Genomic DNA, 16,151 nt, shown 5'->3' with positions numbered 1-16,151 from the left:
TCGTGAGTTCTCTTGTGACTTTCTGTATCACTGCCCACAGTTGCTACTGTGAGACAAGCATTAGAAGTCTGTGTAGATTGCTGGGTTCACACACATTTACATTCTTTTTCTCTTGTGAGCTTTGACGTGGCTACACATAATTGTTACTGTGAAATAAACATTAGAAAAGCCTGTGGCCCGTGAAATAAACATTAGAAAAGCCTGTGGCCCGTACGGGGATCGAACCCGCGACCTTGGCGTTATTAGCACCACGCTCTGACCAACTGAGCTAACCGGCCCCGCCGGCGGAACGGACCCTACCTCTCTTGAGAAGTTTAAAGGCGAACGTTATTCCAATCACCAAAGAAACTTTTCTGAAGTTCTTGGAGTTGGAAAGAACCTACGATCTTTGCTAACTTGGTTACGATCCTCGGCAAATTTCTTCTAACCTGGAAATTTCAGTTAAAATACAATTCTGCGGAAGGAAAGTTCAAATGTCACCTGCTTCAGTGTTTCACGACAAAGGGTTTCAGTGACCACCCTTTTAAACGCAACGCCATCACCGTCCGCCGGTACTGTGGCCTGTCCCTATCACTCCTTTCTACTTTGCTTCCGTAGCTTCTGAGCGACCCGTGAAGAAATTGACGGAAAACGGAAGGAATTGCCGCCAGTTCCTTTCCACGGGCCGTCAAGGCCAGTATAAGTCCCCACCCAGGCTCCTCTGCTCGTAACTTCTAGCACGATTCCCACTGAATTCGCCCATGTTTCCCAGAAGTGAGTATTTGATCCCTACCCCACCCCATTTTTAGAAAACTCAGGAAAACGCTCTCGTATTTCTATCTGAAAAGGACACTTTAGAGAAATACGTTCCATTACAGTCTTTGTGTTCGCATTGTATTCCTTCTCGATGAAACAGGTATAAGTCCATTGGTATTTTACGCACGACAAGACAACTTTGCAGCCCGACTCATGACCTTTAGATTAAGAAACACTCTCCGGGAGCTCTGCTGATCGCTGGGTCTTACGAGGTTGATGCCTTCTGTCCCAAAGAGAACTATTTCCCTGCGTGTTTCCGCCTGGCTGCCCACTTCTCCAGTAGAGAAACAGCTGTTCCTCGGGATTCATTTTTGGAAGTTCTTTGGGTCCTGGGTAATGGGGCCGCATCCTGCAGCGTCGACAAGGTGGTTGAATACGCAGGAACACCCACAGTACCCAGGGACTAATAAATAGCTCAATAGATACATTTCGAATAACTGAATAAAGGAAATCTCAACCAACCCCCTTGCCGTATTACAGGTGGTCCAGCTCTCTGCCTAGACTATTGTGCTAATGTCCTGTTCCTTCTCCCGGCTTTTGAACTAGATTCTCACCTCTCTCCAATCCATCTTTCGCAGGGCTGGCCTGTCTTTCCGCCTCACTTCTGAAATTCTATCCATTGCAGCCTCTATGCAAACCGACTCTGGTTAATACTTCAGTCGGTATGGCTCCCCTCTTCCGCACTTTGCACTGCGAGAAATGCCCTTCCTTGAGGCAGCTGGAGGCCTCCTCCTCCTGAGAGCTTAATTGTGGACACAGTCTTGAGTAGAGGCGAAAAGGAAAGAAGGCTGGGAGATAATGGGGGAAAAGCACACCTTTGGTCTGGTTTGAAAGCTGGCGCCCGAAAAGGGGAGCGAAAGGACAAGAAAAAAAAACACGCTCCGAAAGTGTCTGAGATTGCTGCGGCCATAAAGCAGAGCACTAACCGCGGTACTGATAAGGGAGGGGAGCAGGGCTCCGCCGCCGGGCCTGTGCCCATGGATCTAGGTGAGGACGGGCACTCCTTCCTCCGCGGCCAAATGTTGCATTTCCCAAGACCACCCTGGCCCGCCACGCCCCCATCCTGTGCCTATAAAAACTCCCGAGACCCTAGCGGGCACGGACACAAGCGGCTGGACGTGAAGAGGAACACACCGGCGGGAGAACACAGAACACCCACCCTCTCTTTAGTCACCCTGGAGGCCTCGGAGAAGGCGGTTTCGGTGATCCGTGAAGAGACCCCGAGTCTGTTACATCCCGGAGAATGACAAGAGAGCGAGTACCTGGGTGACGTTTACGTTCTGGGATTTCGGGAGATGCGGTTTTCTGCACGCCAGGGGCCAAGCCTGAGACGTAGATGGACGGCAGGGATAGGAGCTCTCTCCGCGCCACAAACGCCCCTGCTCATACCTGGGTTCCTTGATTTTCCTGCCTATATAACCGAGCCTCCCATGGCCGGGCTCTGAGCTCTCATTCTGCGGACTGGGACAAAGGGGTTAACTGTGATGAGCTTTGTATAACCCCAGGATTCTGCACTTGCCCAAGGGCGAGGCGCAAATCAAAAACTACGCACAACTGAACACCGAGATCAGGTGAGTCCTGAGTGTCTCACGACATAAAATCCTTACGATTTTAACAAGAGTTGTATTTGTGCTAGCACTGTTAACTGACAAACGCATGCCAGATCCCATCTGTCTTTAAAGCTCAATGTGTGACGTTAGACACGTCGTTTTGCTCTTCAACTTTCTTATTTGGAAAAAAAAAAAAAAAAACAAAAAAAAACAAGTGTTCTAGATTTGCAGAGGACCTTTTCGGAGCTAAGTTCCAGTAGCTATACTGTAAGTTGATTTCTTGGGCAGTTCTGTTGGTGAGGAAAGAGGGCAAATTGAGAAATGAACAAACACAGAAGTTGCAAAAGCCCTGTGACTTACAGCACAGGACGAGTCTACAAACCCTGCCATACCACACTAAGCTCAAATTGTTTTAACACCAGCTTACTCAGACCCGATGATCCAAGATAAGACCAAAGCCAAACGGATCCAGCAACTCTGCGCAGATCTTCATGTTCCAGCAGCTAAGTTCCACTGAATAAACCTATGATTCGCCTAGTTTAGAAATTCTGGCCGTGCGCGGTGGCTCACGTCTGTAATCCCAGCACTTTCGGAGGCCGAGGCGGGCGGATCACAAGGTCAGGAGACCGAGACCATCCTGGCTAACACGGTGAAACTCCGTCTCTACTAAAGATACAAAAAAAATTAGCCGGGCGTGGTGGCGGGCGCCTGTAGTCCCAGCTACTCGGGAGGCTGAGGCAGGAGAATGGCGTGAACTCGGGAGGCGGAGCTTGCAGTGAGCCGAGATCGCGCCACTGCACTCTAGCCGGGACGACAGAGCAAGACTCCGTCTCAAAAAAAAAAAAAAAAAAAAAAAAAGAAAAGAAAAGAAAAGAAAAGAAAAAGAAAAAGAAATTCTGTCCAGTCCCTCCTGAGAAGGACCTTACTAACCTTCCCCCTAAAAGTGTCCTATGAATAGCTCCAGTCCCCAGACCCTTTAAATTCTGGTCTCTGACTCACCCTTGTTTTAGGCAGTACTGGGACTCCATAGAGGTACGGCTCTTTGCTCAGCAAGTTTAATAAATCCAAGGTAGTAGAATCAATTTGTTTTCTTGGTCGTCTTGTTTGGAGGGAGTGGGTCTTCTCAATGTTGGTTCTGATCCCTGCCTATGGATATTTATGAATAAATAGATATTTGCACTCCATCATCATGTGGAGCTACAAGTGTTAAATTTAACGATCTAATTACCTCTAAAATAACCACTAAATTCAACAATCTGAAACTTATCTAATTAGTTCCACATCCTGGAATGAAGGGATTTAATAGGTAATAACAGGTCTCAGTCTCTAATGGAGACATAATCACACAGACACCAGATGAAAGATGAGTAAAGTGGAAAGCAATAGGTAGAACAATAATTTGCTTTATGCTATGATTTTTGGAGCGAAGCAAGAAAATTAATCAAGGAAACAAAGAAGAAATCCAAGACTTAGTAGTGTTGGATTTGCATTTTTGTCATATGACACTACTTGTATTTTACAGGATTCACTTGGTCTCCATCTGACCTCCTCAGAGTAGACTGCTCTTTCCCAATCACTCCTGCAATTACCCTAGGAGATGTGTGATCCTAAAGTAAGGGGGAGTTTTAAATTTACTTCTAAGTACACCTGCATGATGCCATTAGTCAGGGCAGGGTAGCTGAACAAACTCAGCTCTGAATCCTTTAAGCAGAGGTAATAATTGCTGACACTATTTAATCGGATTCTGAACATGATGTGCCACTTTTCCTTTTGCGTCTGAAGTGACACCAGCCATTTTCACAGTTTCTTCCACTAGGAGGTCCTGGGAGAAAAGTGATAAAGGTAGATTCAAGAATGGTTAGTTTGATAAGAGAAATATAAAGGCAAGTATCTTTTTCACTCAGTTCACCTTGGTTCTAAGAGTGGGTCTATATAAAGAAATGGAGCATGCTTCTGCTAATTAATGTTCAGGCAGAAAAAGTCATGAATTCCACTACAAACCCATGTCCCTTCTTCCGAAGACATGACAAATTGATGAGGGTATGCTTTCTTCTGTCGGTAAAACGAAGTCTGGGATATAGATTGCAATATTAGCAGTGCCATAGTGCAGAATTTCTCATAATTAACACTTTTCACTTGAATACATAAGAAAATAGAATTGGAATGTAAAGTTAATAAATTAATCATGTTATAAACAATATGAACATAAAAGCAAAAATTGCAAGGTCTTTGGCATGCAGTCTTTGATTTGGGGAATGCATTTTTTCTATTGTTATCAGGAAGAAAGAACAGAAACAGTTCATATTCACATGGACTAGACAAAAGTATGCATTTATGTTCTTACTCCAGAGGTATACCAAGTCCCCCAATTTTTCCTAATCTAGTCCAAAGAGAATTGAACTGTCTGCACCAACAGCAAAACATTGGTACACTGTATTGATAGTATCATTTAAATCTTCGATGAGCAAGAAGTGTCAAGTAAGTTGCAGATTTTGTTAAGCCCTGCATGCTCCAGAGGGTGGGAGAGAAACACAGAAACCATTCATCGACCTGGTTCGTGAATGAAAGTTTTTAGGATCTGTGAAATTCTGAGACATTTCCTCCAAAGTAAAGTCTCATTGTTGTATCTCGAAGCTCCCGTCACTTAGAAGGGAGCACTGTGCTCACCATGTTTCTCTGAGCTGTGAAAGCGGCGCGTTCCACACTTGGAGACCCTTCTCTGACACATTTACCAACAGATACTGAATTAAAATATTAACAAATTGAATCCAGCATTATCTGTAAAGCATAATGCACCATGAGTTAGGGGAGATTGCCTCGGGAATAAAAAATTAGTTAGGCATTGAAAAGTCAATTAAATGTAATATACCACATTAACAAAACAAAAAATACATGTAATCATCTCACTAGATGCAGAAGAAATATTGGACCAAATTTGCCATTCATTCGTGGTGTTTAAAAAATATCCCAGTAAGCTAAGAATAGAAGGAAAATTCCTCAGATGAATAATGGGCGTTTAAGAAAGTCCTACAACTAGCAATAGAGTTAATAGTGGAAGAATAAATATGTACCCTTTAATATTGGAGAAAAGTGCAAAATATCTGTCCTTACTACTTCTACATTTTACTGAAAGTCCTAGCTAGTGTCAGAAAGTAAGGAACGCATGAATGAAGAATAAATGGCATACTCACTTTAGAATAAGAAAAATATATTCGTTTGCAAGCAACATGATCAGATACACAAAAAATCCTAGTGTATCCACAAAAATAAGCATTATAAGTAAATGCAGCTATGTCACAGATTACAGTATACAAAAATTAATTGTATTTCTATGTACTAGCATCAAAAAAATGGAAAATTAAATTACCACTTTCAATAGGTTTAAAACAAATGAAATATTTAGAGATAAACTTGTCAGTGTGCACAGGACTTGTACCTAGGAATCTACAAAAGATGGCTGAGAAAAACTCAGGAAAGCTTGACTAATTGGTGTTGTTTGACATATTTACAGATTGAAAAAGGTAATATTATTAAGATATCATTTTTTTCCCTCTGAGTTGATCTATAGATTTACTACAATCCCAACAAATATCCCAGCAGGAGATTTTTGTTTTGTTTGTTTTGTTTTCTTTTCTTTTTGTTTGTTTGTTTTTACAGAAATTGACAAGCTTATTCTGTAGGACCTAGAGTAACCTAAATAATTAGGAAAAGAAAAACAAAGTTAGAGGACTTACACCAGGTGATGTCAAGACTTATTATAAAGCTAAGGTAATCAAAATAATGTGGTATTGTCTCAAGGATACTTACCCAGATTGACGGAATAGAACAGATAGTCCAGAAACAGACCAACGTATGTGGTCAACTGATTTATGACAGAGGTAAAATGTTATTTAATGAGTTTTTTAAACAAATGGTCCCAGGCAACTGAGTATGGAAAAAATGATTCCCTACCCTTAACTCACATCCTATACAACAATTAAATCAAAATGGTTTATATACGTAAAGCTTCACGTTAAAGTTATCAAACTTGTAGAAGAAAAGAAGTCTGCACATATCTGATGTAGGCAAAGCTTTTTCAGAAGGAACCAGAAAAGCATGAGCCCTTACAAAAAAAGATACACTGGATTTCATAAAATATTAAAATGCTTTTTCTTTGAAAGACAATATTAAGAAAATGAAAAGGCAAGACATAGACTTGAAAAGAAATGTAATATATGTTATATGCACACATAGTTGTTATACAACATATGTGTTATGGATACACATATAACAAAGGACTTTTATGGAGAATATAGAACACATTTTAGAACTCAGTGATACAAACACTCAGTAAGGATAAGGGCAAAAAACTTGAGCAGGCATTTCACAAAATAAGATGCTTATATGGCCAATAAGGCACACTAAAAGATGTTCAACAACATTAATCAGTACAAAAATGCAAATTAAATCTATCAAGGATTAATAGGTAACAACAGATCTCAACTCCCCTGAATGGAGAAACAATTAGTAACACAGATACTAGATAAGTTACTTGAAGGATCAATCGATAAAAAGATACTTGGGCTTATTTCCAGGTTTGTGTTCTTAAAAAGTGATGCATTCAACAGAGCATTTGAGGTAACTGCTAATTAGGGACGGTACTTCCTTCTCTTTCATCTAATGGGAGAGTGAAATCAGATTAGAACTAGTGCTTTCCTAATGAGATCTTTTCTCTCTTTCTCAGGATCCCGACTCAGATTGAAAAAGCAGAGGATGGTCACTGCCTTCCAGGTCTGAGGCTGTCTCCCAGAAACTTCATTCCTCGCTTCGCCTTGGTAGGGAAGTTCCCGGAGGTGTTTGAAAAGCTGGAAACTTAAGTGGGACATGGAACGATATTTGTGTCCCGGTTATCAAAACAGGCAGAAAAGACAAATGCGGTGTGGGGGAATTGGCTCAAGCGGTAGAGCGCTTGCTTAGCATGCAAGAGGTAGCAGGATCGACGCCTGCACTCTCCAGCTTCTTTTAATCCCTAGGCTACCAATGGTATCTGGTAAATACTTTCAGCGGATTTACCGCTCTTTATTTGACTCAGTTTCATCTTGTTATGTACATTTTTTTTTTAAGGAAATTATACATAGCATTCCATGCAAAAGCAAAAAAGGAAGCGATTAGTCACAAGTGAGTTTTGCCAATACAGGTTTTGGGGCTTCAGCTCGAAGTTAATACAATGTATTTTTGTGGGGAAATCAAACTTTAGCCTTTTGGGTACAAAATATGAGGAACAGCCTGGAAATAGTGTCAGGAGGCAAAAGCAGGAGACTTGAATGTGCCAACCTTTTGCTTTTATTCACATTGACAACACATGGTCAGGTAGAGGATGAAAACGTGTCTTCTACCAGATTATCTGAGAGTTGGCCAGGCTCCCACCTTCACTTATACTCCTTCCTTACCTCTCTCCTGTGTAGGTAAGAGAGGTAAGGAGAGAGGTAAGGAAGGAGTATAAGTGAAGGTGGGAGCTAGCATATTAACTCTAGTGGTCGGATACACTCTCACTAAGAAAAGTGACATTTATTCCTTCTATTCATCTCTCTGAAAGCTCGTTCTGACAAAAATGTGCTCAAAATAAATGGGGACCTAGGTCTTCCTCTAATTTCCAAGATGAACCAAAACGTAAAAAAATGTATTTTTGAAATTGCAACACTATCCCCTATTTAAAGAAACTACATGAGGCGCTGTATTAACAACACATATGTTGACTAGCTCAACTGGCCCAAGCAGAGCTCAGAATGCTGGAGAGAGTGGTCTTTGGATAGATGACTCCAGGAAGCTCTTGTAGGTCCCTGGGACGTGCCCCTCTTTCCATCCTTCTTTCTTTCCCATCACTCAAATCTCTCTCTGACACCATTTGACTTCTCAGCATTGCCCTTTGTTAATCGTAATAGAAAGACAATGTTATTGATTACATGTTTTTCTATTTTATCTTCTTATTCATAAATGATCTCAAAAATGAATGTCATAAATAATAAACATGTTGTTGAATTTTTGTCCCATAGGAGCAGCCTCTTTCCTTCTCAGGATGTGCACTCCTAATAAACTGGGACCGTGAAGGAGGGACCTGAAGCTGCCCCAAACCACCTGCAGTTCCATGAAGGCCATGCCTCCACCCACTAATCACTCTGAAAGTAGTGCCCCTCCACTCTTCCCCAACCACATTTCCTTTTCAGGCAAAAACATTTCTATGGGTTTGTTAGACCCTAGCTTCTAATCCTTTCTTCAGTCTTTACTGATCTGAAGCCACTCTCTCCTTTGAGGCTTCTAAATTATCTGTATAGCCTTTCTCCATTCAGCAAATTTTCATCAGGCAAAAATCCTACTTGACGCTAGTTATACTCAGAGTAAAATAACTATGTTCCTGTCTTAAATGAGAATTCTTCACAGGTGGAAAGCAGATTTGGAATCCACTACAACTCCAAGGCAGTGGAGCTAATGTAGCCTCCCCTGGGCTACAGGGGAAGCCTTCTTCTGTGGGCCCGGGAATTGAAGAACTAGACAGGCATAAGAAGGACAAGTGTGGTGCCCAATGGAGCAAGAGAAGGGGGGAGGAAGGTGACAGGGAAGGGAAATGGCAGGAGAAGCACCTACACAGCAGACACGGTATAGCCTGCATCTGTTTTTCCTTTTGGCTGAGAGATCCCTGAGCTCTGTGGTGACAATTTTCCATAATTTTTCATATAAAAAATGAAGATTATAAACTATTTCTAGGCATTTTACCTGCATTACTATTAATATGTGTACAGCATCTAAAATAGGGTCTAGACGGCAATTGCACAGTACTATTACTTGCTATTGTTGTGGCACTTTCTATGTGGATCACTGGCCTCATCCACTGTGCCTGGTGCTGAAGAAGTGCTTCAGGAATGAATCCACAGATTGAGATGAAAATTCTCAAGCTTTCTCTTTCTCAACTCCTCCAAGGTTCTCCATCACTTTCTGAGTCCTACAGGAGGAAAGTGCTATTGAAGATGCGGCGCGTATGGCGTGAAGTTCTGGGGCTGGGAGAAGCTGCCCCACTACTTCCGGGCGGCCTTGCCTGCAGGGAGCAGGTGAGGATCACAGCTCTAGAGCGGGCTGCAATAGCTGTGCCCGCAAGCCAGGCAGTTCCGGGTGGTGCTTCTCCAACTGGAACGTGCTCTCTACTTCCGAGAGATGAAGAAGGCGAAATTGAGAAGTGAGGAGAGAGGTCTCCCTCATGACCTATTTTGGAAATCCGTATTCTTCACACTCTCAGGCTCGTAGAACTTTGCCCAAGGCAGTATCTGAGAAGCTCCGCCCTCAATCTTGTCCTGCCAGGGATTTGGCGGCCCAAAGTACCGGCAGGCTCCTGATAACCAGGAAAATGGGTGGGGGGTGGTGTATCCTCAGTGGGGAATTAGCTCAGGCGGTAGAGCGCTCGCTTAGCATGCGAGAGGTAGCGGGATCGACGCCCGCATTCTCCAGTTCCTTGTCCGGTTTATGTCTCTTGGTTTGTATACCCGCTTCTTTCTCCTGTTGACAACGGCGGTGCTTCTTACCTGGGAGAAGATCAGAGGAACCTGCCCCCTCCCCCGATCTCGTGTTTTACTGCTCCCCATGTAAGAGTCTTGTTGCCCCTGCTTCCATCCTCCCATGTTTTCCACTCCTGCCACAGGTTTGGCACTTCTAGCTACTCAGGTCTCAATGCAAATTTCCCGTCTTTAGACAAGTACAGCTAAAAGTGATGCCCACACGATCTCTCAATTCCTACTACATCTTCACAAATATCGTCTCCTCCAGAAAGTATGTCTTTAAGTTACTGGTTTGTTTTTCTCTCCCCTAGAGTGGGAGCTTCCTGAGTACCGAAACGCTGTCTATGTACACTGTGTTCAACTCGCTTCATCCCCATGCGTAGAGTTAAGGTTCTGTAAAATACGGTTACTGCCTTGAACAGATAAGGAAACAGGGAGATCAAAGACAGAGCAATACTTAAAAACATTATCCTGCCACATTTCTCAAATCTTAATAATAGCATTCACTAATGTTTTTGGTTTTTCTTTGTGCTTTCTCCATATCCCCTTATTATTATTATTATTTTACATTTGGCTGACCATTTTACACTTCTTTTTCAAATGACCAATCAGATTTTGCAATTTTCTAGTTAATTCCTGTGTTTCCTTCACCATTCTATTTTCTTTTTTTTTTTCTTTTTCTTTTTTTTTTTCGGGCTTCTTCTTCTTCTTCTTCTTCTTCTTCTTCTTCTTCTTCTTCTTCTTCTTCTTCTTCTTCTTCTTCTTCCTTCTTATATTTAATGCACTGATTTCTTCTAATGTTTTGTAACTTGGGTATTAAAAGGTGTAATTTAAAATGAGAAAGCAGTTTCTACAGAGTCCTTAGAAATATGTCATTTTAAGTCCCCATTTTCATTATATTCTAAGGAGCTCGAAGATATACTTTTGATTCTTTTCTAAACTGTGCATTCGAGAGTTAATCTCTTCTTGTTTACTTTTACGTTCATTCTTTCAATGTTATTTTCTAATTTTTGTGTATCATTTTGTTTATCAACACATAAATATGTACATTCACATAAGTATACGAGTTATATATACATGTATTTATGAATGGCAGCTGAACCACACATTAGTGCTAATATTGGTGACTAAAAGTTGGAGAACCAGACATTATGTACCTCATAAAGCGAAGCAATGGAAAGTGCACAAGCCCACCTATCAAATTGTCTTGTTAAAAGATTTGAAGCTGAATCTAAGTGAGCCTCTACTTGTAACTACCAGTTTACAAGAAATAGAGTAGGTGAAGAAACATGTCAAGGGGCAGGAAATAGATACAATGAAATAAATACAACATAGAGGTGTTTCTAAGGATAAAAGGCCCAGTTCCTTCAACAACTAACTGGCATTAACTCTTTATGATACTATAATGGTAAATATATGTCATTATACATTTGTTAAAAAAAAAAAAACCCAGGATGTATAACACAAAGAGCAAACTGTAATGTAAACTGTGGACTTCAGTTAACAATAATGTATTAGTAATTACTGGTTTACCAGTTGTAACAAGTGTACCATACTGATGCAAGATGTTAATAATAGGGAAAATTGTAAGAGAGGTAGAGTGATGGAGTTTATGGAAATTCTATCTATTCTGGTCAATTTTTCTTTAAACCCAGAACTTCTCTAAAAAATAATGTCTATCAATTTTAAAAAATAATATCCATAAAAGAAAGACCAGGGACCTTTTATGGATGAAAAGAGTCTTAAAAAACATAAAAATCTGTAGATTTTACTTTATTATTTATAATCAGCCATTAAGAGAAATTTTTTTTGTATGGGTGACAATCAGAAAAAAAAGTTAATATTAGATCATATTTATGATCTATTACCAATTTGTTAACAACAAGTACATACACACATGCAAACATGGCCCTAAAATTTCCTAGTTCTCTCAAGCTATTGATTTCATCATTCTCTCTGCTGCTGAGTTCAAGAAAGTGAAATGCGTAATGGGTATCTCTCCTTTCCCACCTTCCTTCCAGTTCACAACCTAGTGCTGTCCACTTGCATGGGATGTTTCTTTTCCATCACAATGCTCTGAGATAACTAAGTCAAGGGAAGTTTGCGCAGCCCTCCAGACCCTCCAGATTTCAAAGGAAAGCCCACCGCTGCTGGTCTGGGGGAGCTGATGGCCTATTCATGGATGAGATGGACTAAGGACAGTGGGAAGCACAATGGACCAACAGCATTGTTGGAGGGGACTGCGTGAGGAAGCAGGAGCCTAAACAACACTCTCCAGATACTGCGTGAACACTGTCTCCAGAGGGGTCTTGTAGCATCAAAAATTAAAGCTAAATGTTGATTTCTTTCTGGTAATTATTTTGTTCAGCAACCTGGAAAAACGAACAAAAATTATCTCATTCCCTTTCCTATTTAAAGCCTGAAATATTTAATTAAAATGATAAAACTTAAAAAAAGTGCTTATTAGGCCAGGCTCGGTGGGAGGCCGAGGCGGGGGCGGGGCGAATCACTGGAGGCCAGGAGTTTGAGACCAGCCTGGCCAACATGGCGAAACCCCGTCTCTACTAAAAATACAAAATTAGCTGGACGTGGTAGCGCACGCCTGTAATCCCAGCTACTCGGGAGGCTGAGGCAGGAGAATCGCTTGAACCTGGAAGGTGGAGGTTACAGTGGATCGACATCGCACCACTGCACTCTCAAAAAAAAAAAAAAAAAAAAAAAAAGTCTTTATTGAAAGTTTCAAACTTAAAAGTGCTCTCACATATAAATAAAATCATTTTCTCTATATACATGGTTTTTGCAAGTGTACATGTCTAGACACCCTAGGAATGGTGGTGCCGTGGTGTGAACGTGGAGCCTGGAATGGCCAGCCCCAAAACCTCCTCCTCATCAACTGTTGACTCGTCAACAGTCAGTCAGTAATCAAAACTTCCTTAAAATACAAAGAGCCGCAGAACATTCCGGGATATCTGTGCTACTTAATCTGGCAGTTCCTACTGTGTCTTGCCCCCGGTGTGACGTGCTCTCTTCCATGAAATTAATAACTGCAAACTGTAATGGGAACAATGCAATTGATTGTCTCCGCACTCTTGCCCAAAGCGTTCTCTGAGATGTTTGGTAGTTATTTGGGTCCTTACTTGACCTTCGTGGCCTTAAAACAAAGGGAACATGGCATTTGTGAATCTGAAAGAATTGTGATAATTTTCTCATTTCCTCCTGGCTGTGTGCATCACCCTGAGTTTGCGGAGGGATCAGCCCTTTTTCAGAGCCCCCTCACGTCCTGAGTATCATCCTCAGAATGTGGGGCTTGGGCTCAATTTGAAGAGGGTGTGAGGGAGAGCCAAAATGCAGGGATTGTCCCACAGTGCAGTCCTGCTTTGTAAACCCCTTCCTCTGACTAGCTTGATTTTAGTCTCTGAGAATGGATGGGGTGGGATGGCTTTTCAGTACTTTCTGCTGAGACATTTTTGTATATTCATTTCTCTCTCAAGGAGCCTCTGTAACAAAAGAGAAAAAACTGTCTCGGGTTCTGTGTGTGGCACATGAGTTTGAAGGATTTCTGAGACTATTGTTCAGGACTGGCGTTACAGATGAAATATAGATTCAGGACCAGTGACGGTGGGATCCTTGGCAGGCGGACATAACGCCTCGTTAAGGACAGACTGCCCACCACTCTCTTTCTTTCTTTCTCTCTTTCCGAAATCATTTTCTATAAATTCCACTGGGTATCAGAACCTTCCTTAGGCTGACTGGCGCTTCGCAGTCTCCTCTCCAAGCCCGGATCTATTCCCCAAAATTCTCTCGTTCATGCTTCTAGCTTCTCTTCTTAGCTTCTCTAGGTTCGCGTCATCGGCTTTCCTTGTTTCCCAGGTTGAATCCCCAGTTCCAAGCGGCTCCTGTAACAGGGAGTGGGAGCCCACCCTCCCACTCGCCGTGTAGCACTCTGCATCTCTGAGAAGAAAGTGACCACCCCAGCCCAGCACAGATTTTCTTCGTCTTTGAGCACCTGCTCGGAGTTCCCGCCCCTCGTCGCTCCTTGGTTTTCCCTCATTGCCTACATAGAGTCTGTTGGATGTCGGTCAAGGTATCCCCAGCCCCTGCCGTGGGAACCGTTTGGGGAAAAACAGACCTGATTTATTTATACTTCAAAGATGCCCAATGATTCCCTGTCGTCTGTGTACCATAAAAATAAAAACAGATAAAAATAAGAAGATCAATGTATTCGACATCTACACCCAGGCGTACAGCTCTCAGATGATCAACTGGGAAGCGACTGTTGCCCACCCAGAGGGAAGAAAGGGGCAAAGCCGGAGGATGAGGACGCGGACCCTGCAGGCCGCTGCCTCCCAAGTGAGCGGGTTACAAATTCCGCTAACCCCAGCCCGCCACCCCGCTATTGGCTATTTGAGGCATGTGGGGGATTTTTCCGGACTAGAAGTCTTGTGTTCCACCTGGTTTTTCGGGACCACTCAACATTCCTGAGCTCCATCCCTGCCAAGGTGGAGCCAGCACAGGACTGCAGGCGGAGTCTCCAGACTCATCCGGAAACAGCCACTGCGCGGAGCCGGGAGCGCGTGTCAAACGAGCACCCACAGAAGCTCTGGGCCCGACACGGTTCCACTTGCTTGATATTTCAGAAAAGAAGGAATTATACCTCAGCTGTAAAGGGAATACGGGTTACAGCTATCACAAGTGCCGGGAAGGTAAGCGTTCACTTGCAAAAGCTGCCCTCTCTGAGGCTCGAACTCAGGACCTTCAGATTATGAGACTGACGCGCTGCCCGCTGCGCTAAGAGGGCGACGAAGTGCATCAACGCGCCAGCTTCCACAGGAATTTCCTAATTTCTTTCCCCAGGCGGGTTATTTTGGGACTTCAGTTTTCTTCGCCCAAGGTCGCTAGTTTTCCAAGATTATTTCCAATAGGCACGCGTAGGCTCCTTTTTAGCCCATCGGAAGAACCTCACAATCGGAAGCCATAGTGTACTGAACAATTATGCCTGACCTCATTCTCTATTGATCTGGATCTTCGTCCCCTCAGAGATATAAGGCAATAATTACTGTCCACAGTCTCCTTAGTTGGAATAGCGGGCTCTCACTAAATGCTAGTTGAATGAATGAAAAGCTCCCAAACATGCCTGCAGTTTACACTTACCTCTCTTAATTTAAATTTGCATTTCCACTTATGTCACCTGAGATAGTCCCCTCAAAATATCACCAACTGATTTTATGATGAGTCTTCATGTTTTCTTCACCTCTATGTTGCAAATACCCTATTAAAGATTTTATTCCCGTAATTTCATTTAGTCCAATTTATTTATTTATTTATTTGCCATAAATCTATACATCATTATCCCCATCTTACTGATGAAACTGAGGCTCAGCAGAACTAAATCCACAGCTGATAAGGGGCAAAACCAGATCTTGAAAGCAGATTTTGTTTTCCAAAAAGCGTGCTGCCCTCTTTCTCCCTCTAGATCATGTAATCTCCCCTTTTCCTCTCCACACCACCACACTCATTTGTTAAGCAAATAGCTATAGAATTTTAGATTCGTTGGTCCATTCAACAAACTTTAATTCACCACCTGCCATGTACCCGGCATTTATGCTCTAGATTTCCAAGGCATCCTTGGCCCTTTATCCCTCACATCCCTACAAACACCTTAAATCATTAGTTCTCGAAGTGCGGTGCCCAGACCCACCACATAATTCTCGAGGACACATTCCATTTCAGGTACTGTGCTACCCGAAGGCTTTGAGGATTCAGAGGAAATTGAGCCATCCCTGACCTCAGGAGCTGACAGGACAAACTGTCCTATCTGGTCCGGTTCCTATACTCTCAAACTTCCGGATTCTTATAAATGCATCTTCCTAAATATTTTATTTTGATACTGTAACTCCCATTCTGCACTAGTTTGCTAGGGCTGCCATAATAAATATCATAGACTGAGTGCCTTAACCAACAGAAAATTTTCTCAGTTCTGGAGGCTAGAAGGGTTGTTAGCTTTGGTTTCTCCTGAGGCCTCTCTCCTTGGCTCGCAGATGGTCACTTACCTTCTTGCTATATTCTCCCACGGTCTCTCTCTCTACACATGTTTCCATCTTTTCTTATAAGAACTCCTATTGGGAGTTAGGGTTTCGACATGAATTTGATGACAGGTGGGGCGGGACAAAATTCCACCATGACAGGCTCAAAGTTGTTTACATTTTCACCCTCATATTTGCAGTAGACTTTGTTACTGGAAAACACTACTTGCTTTTTTTTTTTTTTAACACGTATTTTAAAG

General features: G+C 42.4%; 3 non-coding genes across 3 annotated transcripts; 1 reads left to right on the top strand and 2 right to left on the bottom strand.

Moving 5' to 3' along the window:
- Positions 1 to 204: 204 nt before the first annotated feature.
- TRI-AAT7-2 (tRNA-Ile (anticodon AAT) 7-2) lies at positions 205 to 278 on the bottom strand. The gene has a single exon. It is a non-coding gene; the product is annotated as a tRNA-Ile (tRNA).
- Positions 279 to 9,747: 9,469 nt separating this feature from the next.
- Positions 9,748 to 9,820, top strand: TRNAA-AGC (transfer RNA alanine (anticodon AGC)). Its single transcript has one exon. It is a non-coding gene; the product is annotated as a tRNA-Ala (tRNA).
- A 4,773-nt stretch (positions 9,821 to 14,593) lies between these two features.
- TRM-CAT4-3 (tRNA-Met (anticodon CAT) 4-3) lies at positions 14,594 to 14,666 on the bottom strand. Its single transcript has one exon. It is a non-coding gene; the product is annotated as a tRNA-Met (tRNA).
- Between the last annotated feature and the right edge of the window lie 1,485 nt (positions 14,667 to 16,151).

This window comes from Homo sapiens, chromosome 6, assembly GCF_000001405.40.
Source record: "Homo sapiens chromosome 6, GRCh38.p14 Primary Assembly".
Lineage (NCBI taxonomy): Eukaryota > Metazoa > Chordata > Mammalia > Primates > Hominidae > Homo > Homo sapiens.
The sequence above is the reverse complement of the archived record's forward strand: the minus strand, read 5'-3'. Positions and strand labels throughout refer to the sequence as shown.